This window comes from Homo sapiens, chromosome 11 (assembly GCF_000001405.40).
Source record: "Homo sapiens chromosome 11, GRCh38.p14 Primary Assembly".
NCBI lineage: Eukaryota > Metazoa > Chordata > Mammalia > Primates > Hominidae > Homo > Homo sapiens.
This window is the reverse complement of record NC_000011.10, coordinates 2,813,810-2,834,153: the sequence shown is the minus strand read 5'-3', so window position 1 is coordinate 2,834,153 and position 20,344 is coordinate 2,813,810. Positions and strand designations below refer to the sequence as shown.

The following is a 20,344-nucleotide window of genomic DNA, read 5'->3' as shown; positions in this document are numbered from 1 at the left end:
ATGCCACCACCATGCCATGCACACAGCCACGCCAGGCACAGCAGGCGCTGAGCCCATCCTGCACGAATGCAGCAGTGTGTGTGTGTAAGGGGACCTAAGCCTCTGCCCATGTCCTCCCGGGAGCCAGCCCCTGGCTGCACTCCTTGTGGCTAAGTGGGGTTCTGCTGCCCCCCAGCCCCTGCTGACAGCCTGGGAAGGGGGTGAGGAGGTGGGGGAGCAGGCTGGGAGGGCAGGAAGTTGCTGGGGCTCCAGCCCCATCTGGACATATTTGGCAAGCCCCGCTCCCCGCCGCTCCTCAGCCTGTCGGAACGGCCCCTGGCGCTGGTGCTGGACACTCTGGCCTTCCCCCAGCTGCCTGTCCCACCTTCCCCACTGTTGTCTCGGTCCCGTCTCGGGGCACTTGCCCCAGTTCCTGCTGCTGGGCCCAGTGGACTGCACGGTCACAGCCAGGTGCAAACATGGGACCTGGTGTTTGCTCACCTCTCTGAACCTCCATTTTGCCTCTGCAAGACAGGGGCTGCAAATGGAGTGAAGCGGGGAAGCCTGCCCACCCCAGGAACCCAGCCTCTTGCCTCCCAGTGACACGGTTGCTGGCGGGGCAGCAGTGGGGATGCTCGGGGACCCCTGCCCTTGAGGCTGGCTCCCAGGTCCACGTGCCTGGGGCTGACTTGGGGCCTGACAGCTGCGCCCAGGTGCCCACCCTAAGGCTGAGACTCCCTCACATCTATGCAGTCTTCACAGAGGTCCCAAGGGGCTCTGGGATCCTATGAGGGGAGAAGCTTGGAGAGGGGTGGGGCATGTGGGCAGGTGGGGGGAGGACTCGGCTCCAGGGCACTGGCCCGGCTTGGCTGCCCTGACTCTGCCATTGTGTCCAGAAGTCCACAGGCCTCCCGTCCCTCAGGGAAGCAAGAAGGGGCTATGTCCTCTGCCCTGGCGCGTGGGCCCCTTGCGTGCAGGGGCTTCCACAGGGCCTCTAATTGCCTCGACTCCAGAGGCACACAGGCACCCCTACCCAGCATGTTCTCCCACACCCACAGCCTCCTAGCTGTGGGATAACCATGGACGATGCTGCCAACCTCTTATCCCCTGGTCTGGTGGGCAGTCCTTGGGCACCAGCCTGCCCTGAGCAGGGAACAGCAGCTGCATTGCCCACATCTGTCTCCCACTGGGAGGAGGCTAGTGTCCAGGTCACTCTGGGGGAGAGGGGAGGGACCAGGTCAAAGTGGGAGAGTGGAGTGAAGCCCCCTGAGCTGGGCATGGCTTCTGCCCCATGGAGCCCTGGCCAGGCCCTGTGGACCACGGCGGTGGCAGCCACCTTCCCCACACCCTACAGTTGTCACCTGGGGCAGCCCCAGCCAGACCATGGTCTCCTCCTGCCTTGGGGAGCATCAGCCCCAGCCTTGCCTTTCACCCCACAGCTGGGCCGCTCAGTGATGCCATCAGCAACCTTCTCCACACAGGCCCTACCGGGAGCTACAGAGGGAACATGCTCCGGGGAGGCGGGCAGACCTGAGGAGGGCTTCCTGCTGCAACTGTGGTCTCCCAGGCAGCAGGGTGCTTGGCGCTTTGCCTGCACTGGCTCTCCTGACCCTGCCAAGGCCCTGGGCATGGGCGGGGACTGCGTCCCATCTCCCTGATCTTGCAGTAGGGGAAGGTGAGTTGTGGAGTCGCAGAGCCCGTCTGAGCGAGCAGCTTGTGGGTATCCTGGTTCCTCTTGCTCCCCATGACCCTGTGCGGTCGGAGCTCTGACGGCCCCACTCCCAGGAGGGGACACAGGCACCCTGTCCTAGTCTCCCAGCCCGGAAGCCCCCACCCTGCCAGGTCCCGCACAGGCATCTGAGCCTTCAAGTCCCTCATCTAGTTCAGCCCTCTGGTACCTCCATTTGCAGGGCCAGGTCCAAGGCTTCTCTAACGCTGCCCATCTGCCAAGATGCCGGGCAACCCCCACTGTGCCTGAGGGGCCAGGCCTTCCCTCAGGGGTGCTGGGAAAGGGTAGGGTGGGGACCGGGCTGGTGTGTGTCCTGGGGACAATGAAGCTATCACCTGTCAGGAAGGCTGGGGGTAGTCTAGGCAGTTGTCCCAGGTCCTAAGCCTGAGGCCCAGCTGTCCACCTGCAGGGCTGCCTGGAGGTGGAGGTCTGCCTGGGCCTCAGGCCACCCCCCTGGAGCAGAGGCTCCTGGTACACGGGCAGGGCCTCCTTTCCAGCTTCCTACCAGGGGCATGTCCAGCTCAGGCCACTGCAAGACCATGTGCCAGGGGCTGAGTCAGGCATATCCCATGGACCCTGGACAGGTGAGACTCTTGAGGCTCAGAGAAGTGAAATCACTGGGGGTCATGGAGTGGCCACTTCCTCGCTGTACCTAGCCTTCCAGGGCTCTGGTGGGGGAGGGAGGAGGGGGCAACGGAGAGAGGCAGAGGAGGGCAGCGGGGAGGGGAGGGGAGGGCAGCGGGGAGAAGGGTGCTGGAGGAAGGAGGGGAGCAGTGGTGGGGAAGGGGAAAGGGGAGGAGGGGCAATGTGGAAGGAAGCGGGGGAGAGAGGAGCGGAGGGGACACTATGGTTGTGGCCATCCAGGACATCAAGAGGAAACTGACTGAAGTCTAGAGAAGGATCAGGAATAGATCTGGGCCTAAGGGTGGTGGTTCAGGGCACAGAGTACCAGAGGGACCCAGAGACCTGGAGAGCTTCTTGTGTCTCCACAGTCAGGGAGGGCTTCCTGGAGGCAGAAGCACCTTCGACAGCCCCACAGTGTTCCAGGCCTACAAGGCATTCACCCCTTCTCTCCCCTGTTCATGGGTTATTTCCAGCCGCCACTGGTCCAAGCACCCCCTGATGGTGTAGGGCAGGCCGGGCCACATACTTCTTCTCATGGCCCAACTGTGGGCACAGGCACCCATCACGTCTGCTGAGGTGCCTCCTCAGGGACATCCTGCCCTGCACCCGATGGCCATCCCTGTAGCAGCTGCTGCTGATCACAGAGCACCTGTCATTCTGAGAACATCCCATTGATCGCCGCCTTTGGCTTCACAGCCATACTGGGAAGCAGGCAGGGCTGCCCTCTGCATGCCAGAGGCCAGAAAATGGGGCGCAGAGAGCATGGGCAGCTTCCCTCAGGGGGCCCATTGGGCGGGTGCTGGGGTGGGGCTGAGCACCCAGACCAGCTGCCTCTCATCATCACCACTTCCCTGTCCTGCCTTGACAAGACCTGCACGGGGTCTCCCAAGGGTACCCTTGCGGTTTCAAAGACTCCCTGGTCAGCTCCTAACCCTGCATTTTCCTGACAGGAAAGCTGAGGCCTAGAGAGGGGTTGGGCCAGCCTGTGCTGGGTTACCTGATGATGGGGAGAGGGGAAGGCCCAGGTGTGTGGCTCTGTGGCCAGGGTGCTGGAGGGCACACACGTGGGGTGCCCTTGGGAGGTCAGAGGTCTGAGGGCCACGGAGATGTGGGGGTTCCTGGGAAGGCCCACAATGCTCGGAAGGTGAGTGGAAGGGTGGGAAGGTCTCCACCCAGGAAGGAGGTCCTGGGCTGGCCCCCAGCCTGCCTGGCCCAGGCTGACCCTGTGAGTTGATGAGAGATTCAGGCCCCATCCTGCAGCTCCCAGCCCGCCCTTCCTGCTCCCGGGGCTGGAGGAAGAGGTTCTTGGGACACTGGGACTGGGGTGTGGGGATACATGCTGACTAGACTGGGTGTGGTTTGCAGGCCATTGGGAGGACCTAGGTCCTTTAACAGGGGACTTAACAGGGACTTAGATCCCGGGGCCTTGGAGATCATCTAAGATATCATTCAGGTCATAGCTCTGGGATGCCTGCCCAGGGAAGAGCCCAGATCCCTCTGTCAACCCTTGCTAAAGGTGGGGAGGAGGCACCCACCAGTGAGTCCTCTTCTCTCACTGGCCTTATCCTGCACAGCCCCAGCCCCAGCTAGTCAGAGGGCTCCTGCGTAGCACCCAGCCAGTCCTGAGCCTGTGCCCACGGTGTAAAGGGCCTGCTGGTCTTTCCCCTTCACCACACACCTGCTGTTCCCAGCCAGGGTGGCATGCACCCACCTTCCCCTCTCAGAGCTCCTTGGCCAATCTCTTCCTTCTCTCTCTTCCTCCCTCCTCCCTCCTCCTTCCTCCTCCCTCCTCCTTCCTCCTCCTTCCTCCTCCTTCCTCCTCCCTCTTCCTTCCTCCTCCCTCCTCCTTCCTTCTCATCCTCCTCCCCCTCCCCCTCCCCCTCCCCACCAGGGTATTGGCAGAATTCCCTATTCTCTGGCACCATCACTTCCTTCTTAAATTTTCTTACCCTTAGTGAGAAAACCCGTGAAGCTCTCCCATCTTTAAACAGCCTTCCCTGGGCGCTAGATCTTCTATCTCTAATTTCTGTTCCCAGAGGCAGCCCTTCAACCCTACCGACTATCTCTTGGCTTTACCTTGGCATTTCCAAACTACACATTTACATTGCTGTTCCTTGAAATTTTGTCACTTTAGACATTATCTAGTGACTGCCTAACATGGAAGAGAAGTGATCAAGATTTTGTTCTCATGCCCCTGCCCTCCCCACTCCCTTATCTTTCCAACACAGTTAAATTAGAATTCTAGGCTAAATAAGTACTTACTGTTTGCATTTTACACAAACAGTATATAACTCTTTATGTCACTATGTAATCACTGTTTTTAGCTGTGTCCTGTGGTCTGTTATGATTACATCTTCTTGTTTTCCCTTGGGTTACAAATGGCCTTAGGTTTTGCTTGTTTTTTACTGCATCTGTCACTAATTCATTCTTGAACTTTCTGTAAGAATTGTAAAACTTCTTTCATCCTATTGAGAATACTGGCAGTCTATCACCTTCATTTTTTTTTTCTTCTGGGATTTCTTCCTGGAGTCTTAGCAGGACTGTTTGCACTGTAGGCATGCTGAGCAGCTGTAATGCTAGAACTTCTTTCACTCATGTTGAAAATTCTCTTGGCCTTTTGTTTTTGGTGTTGGAGTCTCCCTGGTTCTTGAATTGTGTTTCTCTTTCTTTGTTTTTTCCTCTCATTTTGCTAGAGCACGTCCTCAAGTAACTTTCTGAGAAAAGGCATGTGGTAGATACAATTTTTGACTGTGCATGTTTGGAAATGTCTTTATTCTATTCTCATACCTGAGAGTTTGACTAGGTATAGAATTCTGGATGGGAAATCATTTTTTCCCTCAGATGTTTGAAGGCATTTCTCTACTATGTGCTAGCTTTCTGAATTGCTGTTAAGAAATTGGATACCGTTTTGATTTTCTATTCTCTTGTGTGTGACTTACTTTTTCTCTCTGGAAATGTGGAGTGTCTGCTTTATTGCTGGTGTTCTGAAAACAATGGTGTGCCCCACCGGGCATTCTGGGAGTTGATGAGGGAAGTGGGGGAGGAGGTCTTCCTTTTTAGCTTGAATGCATTTACTGAATCCCTGTTGTTTTCATCACGAGAGCTCCTGCCCCACCCACAACTGCTCCTGGTGGCTCCAAGTTCAGAACCTCTCAGGCTCAGCTTTTCTGGAGACTCAACCTGTCTCTAGCTGAGCTTGAGAATCAGTAGCATCTGGCTTCATGGGCTGGGGTGAGACCTGCCTGTCAGGGTCCTGGGTTGGGAACTGCCTCATTCTTGGTGGCTCTTCTTCCTGCAGGGCTTGGTGTCTACCCTCTCCAGTCTCCTAGGCCAGTCTCCATCTGTCCTCCTGCTTCCCAGCTTCCAAACCTTTGTCAACATATTTTTGGTCTCCTCTTTTCTCCTGACCACTTTACCCTAGTTGATTTACATGTTTCCATGTTTTTCATGCCTTTACTGTCACCTTAGTGGGATTCAAAGAAGCTGAAATAGACATGTGTTTACCCATCACGTTTAACCAGTGCTTTCAGCTCTGGCACCTGCTGCTCCGGTCACCAAACCTTCCAGCAGCCCCCTGACGACACCATCTCCTGTCCTGACTTCTCAGAGTTTTCTTCTTGGGTGCTAGTCCCTGCCTGCTGAGGTCCTCCAGCTCCCAGGAGCCATGTTCCCATGGGTGCCTTTCTGCACGTGGCTGCCTCCTCTGAGTCCCGGCTGTGGCCCCTTCCCTGCTGGCTCCTGTGTGGTGCTGCCAGCCTTTGTCCTGCCCTCGCCCCTTTGCAGGTAGTGTTCCCTCTGTTGCTGGCCTCCCCACATTCGAGCTTTCAAGACCTCTATGTGCCCGGTGGTGCCTGGCTTGGACTCAGGGCCAACACCACCATAGGGTTCCCGGCCCCTGACCTCACCACTTCCATGTCTCAGAGGCATCTTGAATTCGACACACCCCAAACAAAGCTCTCGCTGCCTTCTGCCCGCCCCTTCCTCTTCATTCCGGAAAACAGTACCACCACATACCTGCTACTTACACCCTGGCCTGAGCCGCTGAAGTGTACCCCCATTTCCTCCCTCAAGCGCCCAACTCCTATCTGAGTCCTTCTGGTCTGGCCTCCAAGCCACATGTGGAATTTTCCCTCTGGCAAAACAGCCACTTGTCTCCATAGCCGCTCTCCCCCGCCCCCCCGACCCCACTTTTTTTTTTTAATCAACAGAACCCTGAATTAAGCTGAGTGTTTGCCTGCCTGGAATAGAGACTCCGTCCCCAGGGGCCCTTGCAGCGACTCAGGCGTGCGTCACATTCCGGCGGGTGGACAGAAAGGGGGATGACGTGGGCCGCTTCTGTGTAGGGTTTTACAGGAGTGGGGCCTGTCCTTCATGTCTTTTACCTCCCTCCTGCTGCTGGAATGCAGATGTGATGGTGAATGCAGGAGCAGCCGCTGGGGACCATAGGACAGAAGCACTGGATTGTGGACAGGAAAGCAAGCAGAGAGAGGAGGTCTGGGGCCAGGCTGATTCACCAGGCACACATCAGCCCTGAAGCTTCTGCTACTCTGGGACCCTGCGGGTGGCAAAGTTCTCTCTTATTTGGGCTGTCCCCAGGGTCACTGTCTCAGCAGCAGCTGAACCAAGAACCTCCCCTTCTCCCACCTGCCCTGACTCTGGTCCCTTATCTCCTACCTGGGGGACAGCAACACGAGGTGACTGTGCCTGGCCTCCTCTCTGCAGCCCAGCCTGTTCCCCTCCCGGCTCTGTGACATCTAAGCACATCACCTCTGAGCTTCAGGCTGAAGCCCTCCTGTGGCTTGTGAGTGACTGAAAATGACTCCAAACTCCTTAGAGGACTGCTCCGATGTCACCTCCTTGGAGATGTCCCCTTCCCCACCTACTCCACGGCTCATGGGCCACCTGCCTGGCTTTCTTCCTCCCTGTCCTTGTCACTCCAGGACCAGACACCCCACACCCAGTGGTTTACAGGCTGCTGGCCTGTGTGTCTCTCTGGCTGTGAGCATATGGGGAAGTGGTTAGTGTGTCTCCCCAGCACCCAGCATGGCTCCAAGCACATAGTGGGATTCTGAGTGGAGGCAGGGCAGGGGCCCCAAGACGAGGGGTGCCCAGGGGAGCCCCGTGCCTCTCTGGCCCTCTGCACCCCTCTCTGTTCTCCCTCTGGGAGCACAGTGGTGGGCTGGGTGTGCTGGGCCAGCCCTCTTGTGCCACAGCCAATCCAGGGCATTTCTACCCTGTGGGTGCCCAGCTGCAGGTCTGCTGGGGAGGCCTTCGGGGAAGCAGCAGCAGGAGGGGGCGGGGGAAAGTGCTCCCACACCGGCCTGGCGCACCCAACGCCGGGTCTGCCTGAGTTTCCGTGACTGTCTGCGCGGAACCGCACGGCGGTTTCCATCAGCGCTGCCAAGAGGCGGCTGCTGGGCCTGGCCGCGGGTTCTGACCCCCAGCTGGCCTGGTTACTGCCAGGAGACCCTGGGAAGCTGGGGAATACTGGAGCCCGAAGGGTTAACCTGCCCTCCCCGCCCCCAACCCCGGCTCAATTTCTTCATTTTTCAAAGGCCGGGCCCTCTTTCCTTCCAAGTCACAGCTGACGTGAAATGTAGCCTTAAAATGCAGCTGACATGAAAAACAATAGCACTCCCTCGGAGAGGTTCTGCTGCGGGCTGGACAGCCCCCGCCCCCCAATAATTACTCAAGACATTGGCATGAGCCAGGCCTGGTTAGGTAACAGGCTGCTTGCTGTGGAGGCTTATAACTCACAGGCAGTTACACATAATCTCTGCAGACAACAAAATCGTTTCCAGGATGGCGGGGAGGACGAGGCCTCGGGGAGAGGGTACTGGGGCAGGAGGGGCTGAGACCATGCCAATGGGGACAGGATCTGAGGAAGGGGCTCCGGGTGGCCCTGGGGAGCCAGCTTGTCAATGTGGGGAGGTGGTAAAGTGTCTGTGGAAAGGGGTTGCCCTGCCTCTCTCTTTACTCCAAACTCCACCCTTGCCCCAGTCCCTGGCGTGGAGGCCGCGCTGGTCCAGTCCGTTACTGAGCAAAGTACCCGGAGACTCATTCATACTGAAGTGTGAATGACTGACTGCTTTGGGAGAGCTGCCCCCGCGCAGCTCCGCGAAGGATAATTAATTGTCTGTTTATTGTTCATGGCCCCACTGTACTGACTTCCTCATGGGCAGGTCCACATACTTTCCCCTGTGTTCCCAGAGTCTAGTACATAGCAGACATTCAGAAAATATTTGTTGAAGACGACGACATCTAACCCAAAGAAGGAAGCGTCCAGGGTGTGATTCCAGGCACATGGGCGGGGCCCCTGGCAGCAAGGGCTGGACGACTGGAGGGACACTGGCCAGTAGAGGGCTGGGGCGCCCCTACCCCCCCGCGTGGTGCTTGCTCTTCCAGCACCCGGGGCCCCTGGCACCTTCCCACAGGAAACGCCCATTTCCCTGGAAGGACACTGAGCTGAGCAGGCTGAGGGCTCGGAAGGTCTGGGCTGCGGGCCTCCCTTGGCCTCCCATTGGTCTGGGTCTGCACCCTGGCGGCCTGGCTGCAGAGCCCACCCTGCCAGGAACTGGCTTCCTGGGCTATGAAGGCACACGCCCGACAGCAGGGTCGGGGAAGCCGGGCCCCAGCCCCAGTCCCGCCGCAGGGAAACGGCACCTCCCATGTTCTCTGGACTCTCTTTCCACCGTGACCCTGTCTCTGCGCATGGGACAGCCGTGTCCAGGCTGAGGCCCAGCACACTGCGCCTCCTGCACCAGCCACATGTGCAGACCAATGTCTGAGCTCGGAGCTGGCCCACAATCCCTGGCCCAGGCCCCATCGTACAGCTTCCATCCACACCCGGCCTCCCCTGTCCAAACGCCCCTGTCCTTGCCCAGTCACTGAGGCCCCAGAACTCACTGGGAACCTGCTCTGTGCCCGGCAGGGGAACTCGTGTCCCTGATCAGTGTACCCTCCGGTGCCAGGGGCAGGATGGATGCGGCACGGCACTGAGACAGGCCAAGTACAGAATTCTATGGCTCTGTGGTGTGGAACCCAGGGGACGTTCCTTCCTCAAAGCTGTCCCGGGGGCCTCTAGGATGCCCAAGCTCCTGACTGTCTTCTTCCCGCCACCCCCAGCTGCTTCCTGTACTGCAAGGCCCTGTTCACCCCTTGAGTGGCCCCATTCTCACTCTCTCCTCTCCCTGCAATCTCTTGCCAGGCAACCTCATCCACACCCCTTCTTCAGGTACCACCTCCATGTTGCAGCCTCTGTTTTCAGCTCCAATCTCCCTGCTGAGCCTTGCAGCCTAAACTGCCGGGCAAACACCTCCACGTGGACACCTCAGAACCTTTCAGGCCCTGCGTGTCCTCCTCCCTGCTCCTGTCTGGATGAATCGTTTCAGCCTCCAACATATGGCCAAGCCAGAACCTGGGGGTCTTTCCTGAAGACTCCCCTCCTTCACCACCATATCCAGCTCGTCCCCAAGTCTGGGGATTGTGTCTCCAAATCCCCTCTCGTATCTGTCTTCTTTCCACCCCTGGGCCTAGCCTCCCTCCTCCCAGGGCCTCTGCGTAGCCTCCTCACCCACCTCCCCTCTACTCTGGCCCCTCCATGGACAGCCTCACACTTCAGCCAGGGGGTGGCTCTTGCTGGAAGAGTTAGTTATCCATGTGCATGCATGTGTCTGGGTGTGTTTGTGTGAATGTGTGTGTCGAATATGGGTGTGTGTGACGGTGTGTGTCAAGGTGTTTGTGCTGTGGAAAGGGCAGGCCTGCTATATGATGGATAAGCACAAGCCTCCAGGCCTTAGTGTGCATGCCCAGCTCCACTCCCGGGAAGCCCATCACTGGTCCTCTTATCAGCTTTTGGTGACATGCTGGCCACATGGTTTCTCGACTTGTCAATCTTAGCTACTAGAATCTTCCTTGTATGAAGGTGAGGCTTAAGCTCTCACCCCACCCTCGGCTTTGTCCACCCTCTAACTGTCCAGCACAGCTTCCCCATTGTTTTGATGAAATCTATGCCCACTGCCTGGGTCCCCCACAGAGCCAGGGGGTATACTGTGCTCACATTTCCTTTCTGGGTTCTCCTGCTTCTCTGCTCTCTTCTCTAACAACACCTCCCTCAGGGAGATCCTCCGCTGTTTTGGAAGCTCCGTTGCAGATTTTCTTCCCAGTCCCACCTATTTTCTCTTCCTGGGTGGCCTCTTCAGGAGTATCCTGTCCTCTGCTCCTGCCTGGGCTGCCTGGGCTGGAGGCCTGTAGCCCTGAGCCAGCTGCTGGGCTTGGACCTCCCTGTTCTGTCTGTGTAGGGTCTTCTGCCTCCTTGTTGTTGGTGCCTTCCTTTTCCCTGGTTTCCTCCCACGTTTTGCTGGAGTGCATTCTCCAGAACCTTCTAAGAAAAGGGATAGAAAGCAAATTCTATACTTTTTTCCTGCAGTGACTTGGAAAAATTTTATAAGTTCTTGAGTATCTGAAAATGTCTTTACTGTATCCTCACCCTTGATAGATACTTTGGCTAGGTATAGAATTTTATTTTCCTTCACAATTTTGAAGGCATCTCTCTTCATAAATTTTCTCTACCAAAGACTGATCTGTTCAGAGGCCCATGTTTGGAAAATCACCTGTTACTTCTTTGAGAAGATTCTAGAATGTTGTCTTTATCTCTGCTGTTCCTGAAGGGCATGATGACACAGTGGCTGCTCTTTTCTGCTAGAGGTTCTCAGTGGGCCCTTTCTTTAGTCTCTATTTCCTCTCATCTCCCTTTCTGGAACTTCCAATAGCAGGATATTGGATGTCCTTGGATTGAGTCTGCATGTTTCTTGGGTGTTCTGATTTTCTGTCTTTCAGTCTTCATTCCACTTTCAGGGAGATTTACTTCCATCTTTTACTGATTTTTTTTTTTTTAATTCAGCAGCATAATTGACATTTCCAAGCACTCTTTCTGCTTCTCTAATTGTTTCTTTTTCACAATGTCCTACTCTGGCCTATGCCACCGTTCTGAATTTCAGATCTTACAATGGTGAGATTTGTTCATTGCTCCCTTGCCTCACATCCTTTGGGGCTCCCCCTGTTCTGAGCTGAGCCCCTGCCAAGGACTCCACCTTCCCTCCCTAACTTTCTCCTTTGGCCCGTGTTCAGCCCTCTCCATCCTCTCAGACCCACAGACCAGGCCTATTCCTTCCTGCCTTGGGGCCTTGGCCCATGACTATCCCACCTCTCCACTTAGTTAAGCTAATTTCCACCCATCCTTTGGGGTTCGGCTCACAGGGAGCTTCCTTGGGACACCTCTGCTAATACCCTAGGTAGGCTCACAACTTATTATGTAGCCTTTAGCTCTCTTTACGCACTTAGCACAGTTCTAACTAAACACTTGCATTCTGCCATAATGGCCTAATATCTGTCCCCATTTCCCCACCTCCACCTCCTAGAGGGACATCCCTAGGAGGGTAGGGTCCAGTCCATCTTATCCACACTATACCCCAGGGCCTGGCGCTGTGCTGGTGCTTGTGTCAGCATCCTGCACTGTGGTGCCATGTTACCACAAGCATAGCGCAACACGTGTGTGACATCTTGCAGCACTGGAGGTCAGGAGTCTCACCGGGCTAACAAGGTGTCAGCAGGGCTGATACCTGCTGGAGGCTCTAGGGCTGATTCATTCCTCACCTTCTCCGGTTTTCTAGAAGCTGCCTGCGTTCCTGGGCTGTGGCCCCTCCTCCGTCTTCAAAGCCAGCAGCACAGCACCTTCAGCCTCTCTGAGCTCTGCTTCCATCCCCCTGTCTTCTCCGCTGACTGACCCTCCTGCCTCCCTCTTAGAAGGACCCTTGTGATCACATTCGGGGCCCCTGGATAACCCAGGATCATCTCCCCATCTCTGGATCCTTCACTTAGTCACCCTGCAAAGTCCACTCTGCCATGAAGGGACAGGGATAGAATGAGGACATCACTGGGGCCATGACACGACTACAGAGCTCACACACACTTGCTGGGGTGGGGGTGTGCAGAGCAGGGATGTGGCTGCAGAGGAGGGCAACAGGAGTGGCTTGGAAGATGCACCCTTTAAGGAACCCCTATAGGACCAGTACATAGCAGCCAGGAAAAGGTGGGGAGATGTCATGGGCACAGGGAACAAGGTGAGCAGAGGGCAGGACCTCAAATGGCTGGGAGGGTTTCCAGCAGAAGGGCAGCACGCAAGGCCCATCCCAAAGGCCTTGGAAGCCACTGTGAACAGTCCAGAATTACCACGTGGGGAAGGGGACACCATGGGTAACTGTGTGGGGTCAGTGGGGCTCTGCCCTCATGAGGCTTTTTACCAGCCACTTCCCAATGGCCTCCCACTCCATCTGAGCCCATCCATCTGGCCCTCATGGGTCCCCAGACTCCCTCAGCCAGAGCAATGATTCAGGACACACAATGGCCCTGTGGCTCCACTTGAAACTTCTCGAGAAAGTGTGTGTGGCTGGCGTGACCCCATGGGCACCATTCTCACCATATTCCCCAACCCTTGCCAGGCCCACGGCCACCTTCCCATCCTCTCGCTTGCAGTGCTCCTGCCCCACGCGGGGCCTCTGCACCTGGAGTCACACAGCTGAGAGGCGAGGAAACGGGACTCGCACAGAGCACCAGGCTTCGGTGTCCGCCCTCTGACACCCGTGTTGCTACAGCACCAGCCAGGGGCCACCGAACACTTGACAGACCCACCCCACCCTGCAGGGACGAAAGCTTCCCACCAAGGCAGCAGAGCAGGCCGGACCTGGCCTCCGAAGAGTGCTGATGTCCTTAGAGGGAGGTTCAGGCAGCTGCAAAAGCAAGGCAGGTTAAGGAACCCCTCGCTTAGATGGGCCTAGAAACAGCCCCAGAGATGGCCGAGGCCCAGCACGGGCCAGGGGAGGGTGAGCAGCAATGGAGGTGGGGTGTAGGCACTCCCCTTGACAGCTCTGTCAGGGAGAAGAAAGTATGGGATGAAGGAAGAGCCAGGGGATGTGGAGGACATGGCTTCCAGCAGCTTCCAGAGGGGCTCTAGCAGGAGGGAAGGGAGGCGGAAGCCACGCAGACTCAAACCCTCAATGGAGACCATTTCCCCAGACGTAAGGAGAGGACACATGTGCCCAGGCTTTAAGGGCCCAGAGGATGGGGCAGGAAAAACAAATGAACAAAACCAACACATCAAGAAATCCACAATATTATTGGCCATCCTAGTGCCTGTCTCTCAGAAACTGACAAACCACAGTGGGTGAAACTAACAAACAAACAAACAAACAAACAAACAGCAAGGTAAGTCAGGAGGTGGAGGAGTCGCAGAACTCCACTAACAAGTTTAACACAATTAACAGAAAAGACTCCACCGCCTCCACACATATACAAAAAGGTCACAGAAATGATCCTATTAGGCACCAAAGGAAAACTCCATAAATTTCTAAAAATCTGTACCTTGATGTAAAATAGAAAATTATTAATAAAAATAGCAACAGATGGATACATCTTGAAGTTTAAAAAGTACCCTTCTAAATAACTCTTTGATTAAAGAGAAAATAAGGCAGAGAGAAAATCTTAGGATGGATTTACAAGGAGCTGATTACATGCCAAGAGTGTGGGATGCTTCCTATAGGGTATTTGGAGAAGTATCGATGGCAATTTTAGAAAATAAAAAAGATTGAAAATAAATGTGCTAAGCTTTCAACTCAAGAAGCTAGAAAAAGAACACCAAAACAAATACAAAGAAAAGAATGAACAAAGTCAAAGGAAGATATTAGCAAAATAGAAAAATATTTTATGAAAAAGAATTGACCAATAAAACCAAATGCAGGTTGTTTGAAGAGCCAGTAAAGTAGATAAACCTTAAGCAAGTAAAGTAACAAATAAGAATTAGGAATGAATACTACTGCTACCGAGGGAATTGAATAATTGTAAGTGATTATGATATATACTTTCATATCAATAAAATTGAAAACACAATATGATGGATAAGTTTCAAGGCAAAAAATACCAAAAGTGGCTTATGTGGTAGAAAATCCTAAGAAACATAAACCCATTGGGGAGACACAAATGCCAGTTACCTACCCTCCTCTAAAAGGTTTCCAGTCTAGTTTTTGGGGGTGATTTCTATAATTACCTAAAAAAGCAGACGACATCCATCCCATCCATCCCAGAGCACTAGCCAAAAGGGGAGGTTGCTCAACTTATCTGACAAGGTAAAACCCCAGGCACCATAACTGCTCAAGCAAACACAAGAAAATTCTAGGCCCAAATCAGGTATGAACACAGATGCTAAAACCTAAAAATGCATCAGCAGCTGGACTTGAGTCAAGATCACATAAGGTTTACCTCAGGAATTCAAGGAAGGTTCAATGTCAGGAAGGCTCTCGGCACCTGGTGTTTGGACCCTGCTGTTTCAGGTGTGTTTTCAACTGGACTTCTACCCTCATGTATGGGCTGACACGTGTTGGATGTCTCCCATTCCCAAATCCCCAGCTTGCCCAGGGGAGGGTGGGCTGGGCCTCATAAAAGCCTTGCCCACTCCTCACTTAAACTCTGGTTTGTCTTCCTCTCCTGCTCCTTCCTCAGCACATGGGCAGGCATAGAGCACACAATGCTCTGTCATTGTCTGTCCTCCTAGTGGGCCACAGCCCTTGGGAGGAGGGACTTTGGCTGTCTGGCCTACCACTGATGCCTGGAGCATAGGGATGCTTGGCAAATACTTGTTGAATGAATGAATGAATGAATGAACCAATGAACAAAGGCCAGGTGAGGGTACTCCCTAATCCTGTAGGGCAGAATCTCCCTGGAGAATGTCCAGCTGGTCTTTTCAAAGGGGCTGGAGAGGACTAGCTCCTTTCAGGCTGGAGCTGGGAGCAGGATGTGGGTCCTGTGGGGCTGGGTAATGCTGGAGGGTGGGATGAACCTCTTGTGCCACCTGCCTTCCAAGAGGCATGTGGCCCACTCTCCTAGATGTGATTCTGCTGGGCCTGGGGGTTGGGGGAAGAGCAGCTAAGCTGAGCTGTCTCCTGGCAGTTGTGGAGACACCTGTTGGGGAGTGTGTGGTGGGGGCTGTGCTGGCAGCTGAGCACAAGGCTAGCCTGGGCAGGGGGAAAGGCCTGGGTCATCAGACTAGGGTAGGGGCTGGGGGCTCTGGGCAGCTGGTGCTAAGGACCCAACAGGTGGGCCCGGTTAGGGACCAGCAGCTGGGCTGGTAGGGAACAACTGGAGACAGGGTGGGCCGCATTCCGGGGGCTTCCAGCCTCCAAGCTGTGTGCGTGTGGGGATGGGGGGTGTAAGGCATCTGGTGGAGAGGGGTTTCTAGGCCCCTCACCCCGGGTGGCAAAGTCCTGTGACAGCTCCCATCATCTGGCTCATGCCAGAGGCACCTACCCTTGCTCTTCCTCTGAGGAAGGCCTCTTGGCACTTTCTGAGGACCTCTGAACCACCTTAGGATGCACACTCTGTGGGGGCCTTAGCCACACCTGGGACGGTGGCTCCAGGAACACGGGCTGCAGCCTGTGTACATGCTCAAGCCAGGGCTTGGGGTGTGACTTTGCAGAAAGGGAAGCTGTGTACCCACAGGAGTGGGTGACAAGGGCACAAGGACGCCATTCCTGACCCCCACACTCTTGGGTCACCTGACACTGAGGGGAAGAGCAGACAAGACCCTTTCCTAGGGCTCGGAAGTTGGGGCACGCGCTCCCACTCTGAGGGCCAGCAGACACTGGGTTTAGATGTTGTGGAACTCAGGGTGCAGGGTGGCTGGCCATGTGTTTTTCAGACAATCCTGCCACTTTTTTGCCAGGATAGTGGGTTTTAGGTGTTAATGCATATTCTTTAATGATAAAAGAGAAAAATATTTTGTAGATAGAGTTTGGGAATAGTTGGGTTATACGAAGTTAGTTTTTTTCACTGCAGGCCTTCTCAGGGCTTTTAAAATGCAAATGTGGAGCATTTGCGCAAAGCTGGTAGGTGCTGGCTGGGGAGGGGAGAGTGCCAGAGGTTTCTAACATACATGTGACTCTGGATTCAGGATCTCTCCTTGGAATTTAAGTTGCAGCCCAAGGGGATATCATGTCTCTTTGAGTCTAATGTATCACCTTTGCCATGGAGGAGAGGAGGTGGGTCGTAAGTGGGTAGGCCCCTGTGAGAAGGGGGCCTCGGCTCAGGTCTGTGCTAACAGTCCCCAGACCCGGGGTAGCTCTCACCACCTCTGTGATGGCCCTGAGTTAATGCCCAGGGCTCTGCCCAGCGTCCTCCACCTCCCTGGCCAGGGACATCATCTGAAGCCGTCATCTCAGGTACCATGAACCAAAATTGGGGAACCTGTTCTTTCACAGGGTACATGCTGCTCAGGATCTGAAATGCCCCAGCAGGTCCTTCCCTGACTGCTGGGGTGGCTGCCACGACTGGGGTCAGCTTCATCCTAAGGGTATCAGTGTCTGCACAAGGCTGGGGGTCAGGGGGCACTGGTGTGATTCTCCTCCTGGGGTGCAACAGGGGTTCAAGGTAGCGCTCAGAAACTGGCTGAAGCCACGGAAAGGGCCGCCGTGGGTTCTGTCCAACGTAGTTAAAAACATCTGACTGCAACCACAAAAATGCTGGCATCCGAGCCTGCTGCAAAAACATTTTCATGTCAAAGGCAAGCGCACTGGTGCCGTGAGGAGCTTGCACCGTTAACCCTTGAAAGGAGCGTGCGCAGAGTTGGCCTGTGGAGCAGAGCCGGGTGCAGGCTGGCGCCACAGGCCTGGGTCATGGGTCGGGCATGTGGACTAGGGTGAGGGTGGGTTCCCTCTGTCTCCTGGGGTCAGGAGTGCCACTGGGCTCTGTTGCCCTGAGACCTCCCTGTTGACCTCAAGCCCTGACACCCTCTGCGGACAGGGACCAAGGTTTTGGAGGGGACCTCCAGAGGCAGAGGGGCAGCCACTGCCCAGGGGTTGGGCTGTGGTCACAGACATGTATTTGTGCATTTGAGGAGCCCTGAACAGACACCTGTGTCTGTTCAGGGCTCAGACATCAGATGGAGATGTCTGAAATGGAGGGGGCAGGGGCTCAGGGAAGGCCTCCTGAGCAGGGGACTTTGGAAAGCATGAGCTGGGAGGAGCGTTCAGTGCAGGGAGTCCAGCCAGGGCAGTGGGCCTGAGGCGGGAGTGAGCCAGAATGTTCCAGGAGCAGCAAGTGCATTTCTCCCTTAATGAAACATCATGGTTAGCCCTTGAGTCAAAGGGTCCTATAGCCCCCTTTCTGCTGCCTCCAGCCCCTCATCATATGTGGTGTGGCTTCACCACAGGGTGGCTGTTTGCTCCCTCTGGATGACAGGCAGTCAGAGTCCAGCTTTTCACCACTCCTGGACAGCGATGACGCACAACCCAGAAGCCATTCTCAGTCCCAAGGGTGTTACTGCTCCAGGGCGGATTCTCAGAAGGAGATCACTGGACCACAGGGTGAGTGTGGTCTCACTTTCAGCAGCCTGACCATTTTCACAAAAGGCTCTTGAAATTCTCCCCCACGGCGCTGGAGGCCCCTCTCCCCAACATCGTCACCAGCACTGAGCTTGACTCCACTTTTTAGTCTTGGCCAACTTGCCCTTCAAGTCTCCCTCCCACAACCTGAATCTTTATCCACTTCACTCGCCTGTTTGTCTTTTCCACACTGCAGCAGGAACTCTCTGGTGGCCACTGACCCTTCAACCACAATGCCATGGTGAGTTTCCCAGGATGGGCAGAGGCGTGTGAGGTCTTGCCCCTGGCTACTGTCCTCTTCCTCAGGGACTTCTTGATCTCCCAAGCCCCGGCCGCCAGCCGTCCACATTCATCTAACGGAGCCCTCACCCAGGACTGTGTGCACACTTGGACTCCCCAGAGCCCTGCCCGCCTGCAAGGGAACATATCCAGCTGGCTGGTCCCCCAAGTCCCCTCCACCCTGACAGGTGTGCGGCGACTCAGCGGTGCTTAATTTTTCGGCACAGGCAGCTGTTAGATACAGCCTGGAGACCCCCTGAGCAACTTGCCTTGGGTGAGGGTGTGGCCTCAGAGCCTGGAGCTCTGGGGAGGCCAGCAGGAAGGGCTGGGGGCAGCTCCACCCAGTACCTCCAGGGCCCCCATCCTACTCCCGTGTCTGCTCCCACCCTCTCCTGAATAGTCTCCAGCCTCTTCCAATTGCCCCTCTGCCTGCATAGGGAGGGACTGGGGTCAGCCTGGGGCTGGGGGCGATGGTGCCTGCCCCCCTGCAACTCTACTGTCAGGCATCCTGGGTGCCTCATCTTTCTTGGGCTTGGCAACTACAACAGGACACCCTGTCCCCACTCTCAAAGGCTCTGGGATGGGGCACTGGAGTGGCGATCCTGAGCTGAGATCAGGTGTTTGGATCTACAGGAGGTGGGCTCCCAGGACCTCCTCCGACCCCACAGGGCCAGGAGAGGGTCCCCCGAACTCAGAACTACCCTGTGGGCCTCAGCATAGCTTCTTAGAACCCAGAGGTGCCCATGAGCTCCCTGACAAGCCCCCCACCAGAAAGCACAGAGGTCCAGTGGGGTCCCTGCTGTGGCACCCATAAGACCTATGTGGGCTCTAGTGGGGAGTGTGGATGCTGTGGTGGCAGCCTAGACACCCCCAAGGCCCCTAGAGAATAAAGGCTGCCCAGGTTCAAGCTGTGACCTGGCCACCCCAGACTTGGGACCCTCAGTGACACCCTGAGCATGGGGGTAATTTGGGGAGGGATTGGTACTGACCACATAAGGCTGTTGAGAGCACAGGAAGCACCCAGCATGGTGCTCAGCACGCAGCAGGTGCCTGGATGATGGTTGCTAGGACAACTCCTGCCCACAGTGCATGAGGCCGGGATGAGGAAAGCTGTGTGTGCAGAGCAGGCCTCAGAAGGGCATAGCGCTGGGGCCGTCTGCACAGGTGCTTTCTCTCCAGATCCCAGGCCAGGCTCCAGAGGCAGCTGGGTCAGCCTGACCAGGAAGCTCCAACAGTACCCTCTGATGAGCATGGAAGAGTCCAGAGTCAAGACCTAGGCCTTGGTAGGACAGCAGACTGGTCTGCCCAGCAGGCAGAGGCAGATGGAGCAGGAGGGGATGCCAGCCTCGAGGACTTGGAGGCACATGTATTTCTAAGGGAGACACCCTTGCTTGAGGTGCTTTAGCTACTCATCCAAGCCTGCTTGCTCCCTCTCCCTCCCTCCCTTACCTCCACCCTTCCTTCCTTCCTTCCTTCCTTCCTTCCTTCCTTGTCTCCTTCCATCCATCTACCCATCCACCTATCCATCATTTCTCAATCTACCCATCCACCTATCCATCATTTCTCCATCAGCTCACCCACCCAGCCGTCTCTTTATCCAGCCTTCCCTTCCCTCCATCTCCCCATCCATCCATTCATTCACCACTCATCCATCCATCCACCCACCCATCTCTTCATTTCCCCATCCATCCATCCACCCACCCACCATCCTTTTATTCAGCTCTCCTTCCCTCCATTTATCTATCCACCTCTTTATCCATTCATCCATCTCTCCACCCACCCACACACCCATCGATCCATCCATCCATCTATCCATCCATCCATCCATCCATCCCACCATCCATCCATCCTTTATTCAGCCCTCCTTCCCTCTATCTCTGCATTTATCCATCCACCTCTATCCATTCATGCATCTCTCCATCTACCCCCCCACTCAACCATCTATCCATCCATTCACCCACCTACCCATTCATCCATCCATTATCCACCCATCCCTTTATTCATCCCTCCTTCCCTCCATCTCTCCATTCATCCATCCACCTCTTTAACCATTCATCCATCTCTCCATCCACATACCCACACACCCATCCATCCATCATCCATCCATCCATCCATTTCTTTATTCAGCCCTCCTTCCCTCCATCTCTCTATTCATCCTTTCACCTCTTTATCCATTCATCTATCTCTTCATCCATCTAACCATCCATCCATCAACCATCCTTCCACGCATCCCTTTCTGCAACCCTCCCTCCCTGCAGCTCCCCGTCCATCTACCTACTCATCCGCCACTCACTCACACTCATTA

At 55.5% G+C, this 20,344-nt stretch overlaps 1 protein-coding gene across 6 annotated transcripts in view, besides 1 other annotated feature; it reads right to left on the bottom strand.

Annotated features, from left to right (window-relative positions):
• KCNQ1 (potassium voltage-gated channel subfamily Q member 1) overlaps nucleotides 1-20,344 on the bottom strand; it is a 404,098-nt gene that overhangs the window by 14,952 nt on the left and 368,802 nt on the right. The window lies entirely within an intron of this gene.
• Nucleotides 5,689-6,589: an enhancer, noted in NCBI's record as "H3K4me1 hESC enhancer chr11:2848795-2849695 (GRCh37/hg19 assembly coordinates)". NCBI's record gives its function as "activates a minimal SCP1, AML or CMV promoter by ChIP-STARR-seq in naive H9 embryonic stem cells {active_cell/tissue: H9 hESC(naive)}" and the evidence as "EXISTENCE:reporter gene assay evidence [ECO:0000049][PMID:30033119]".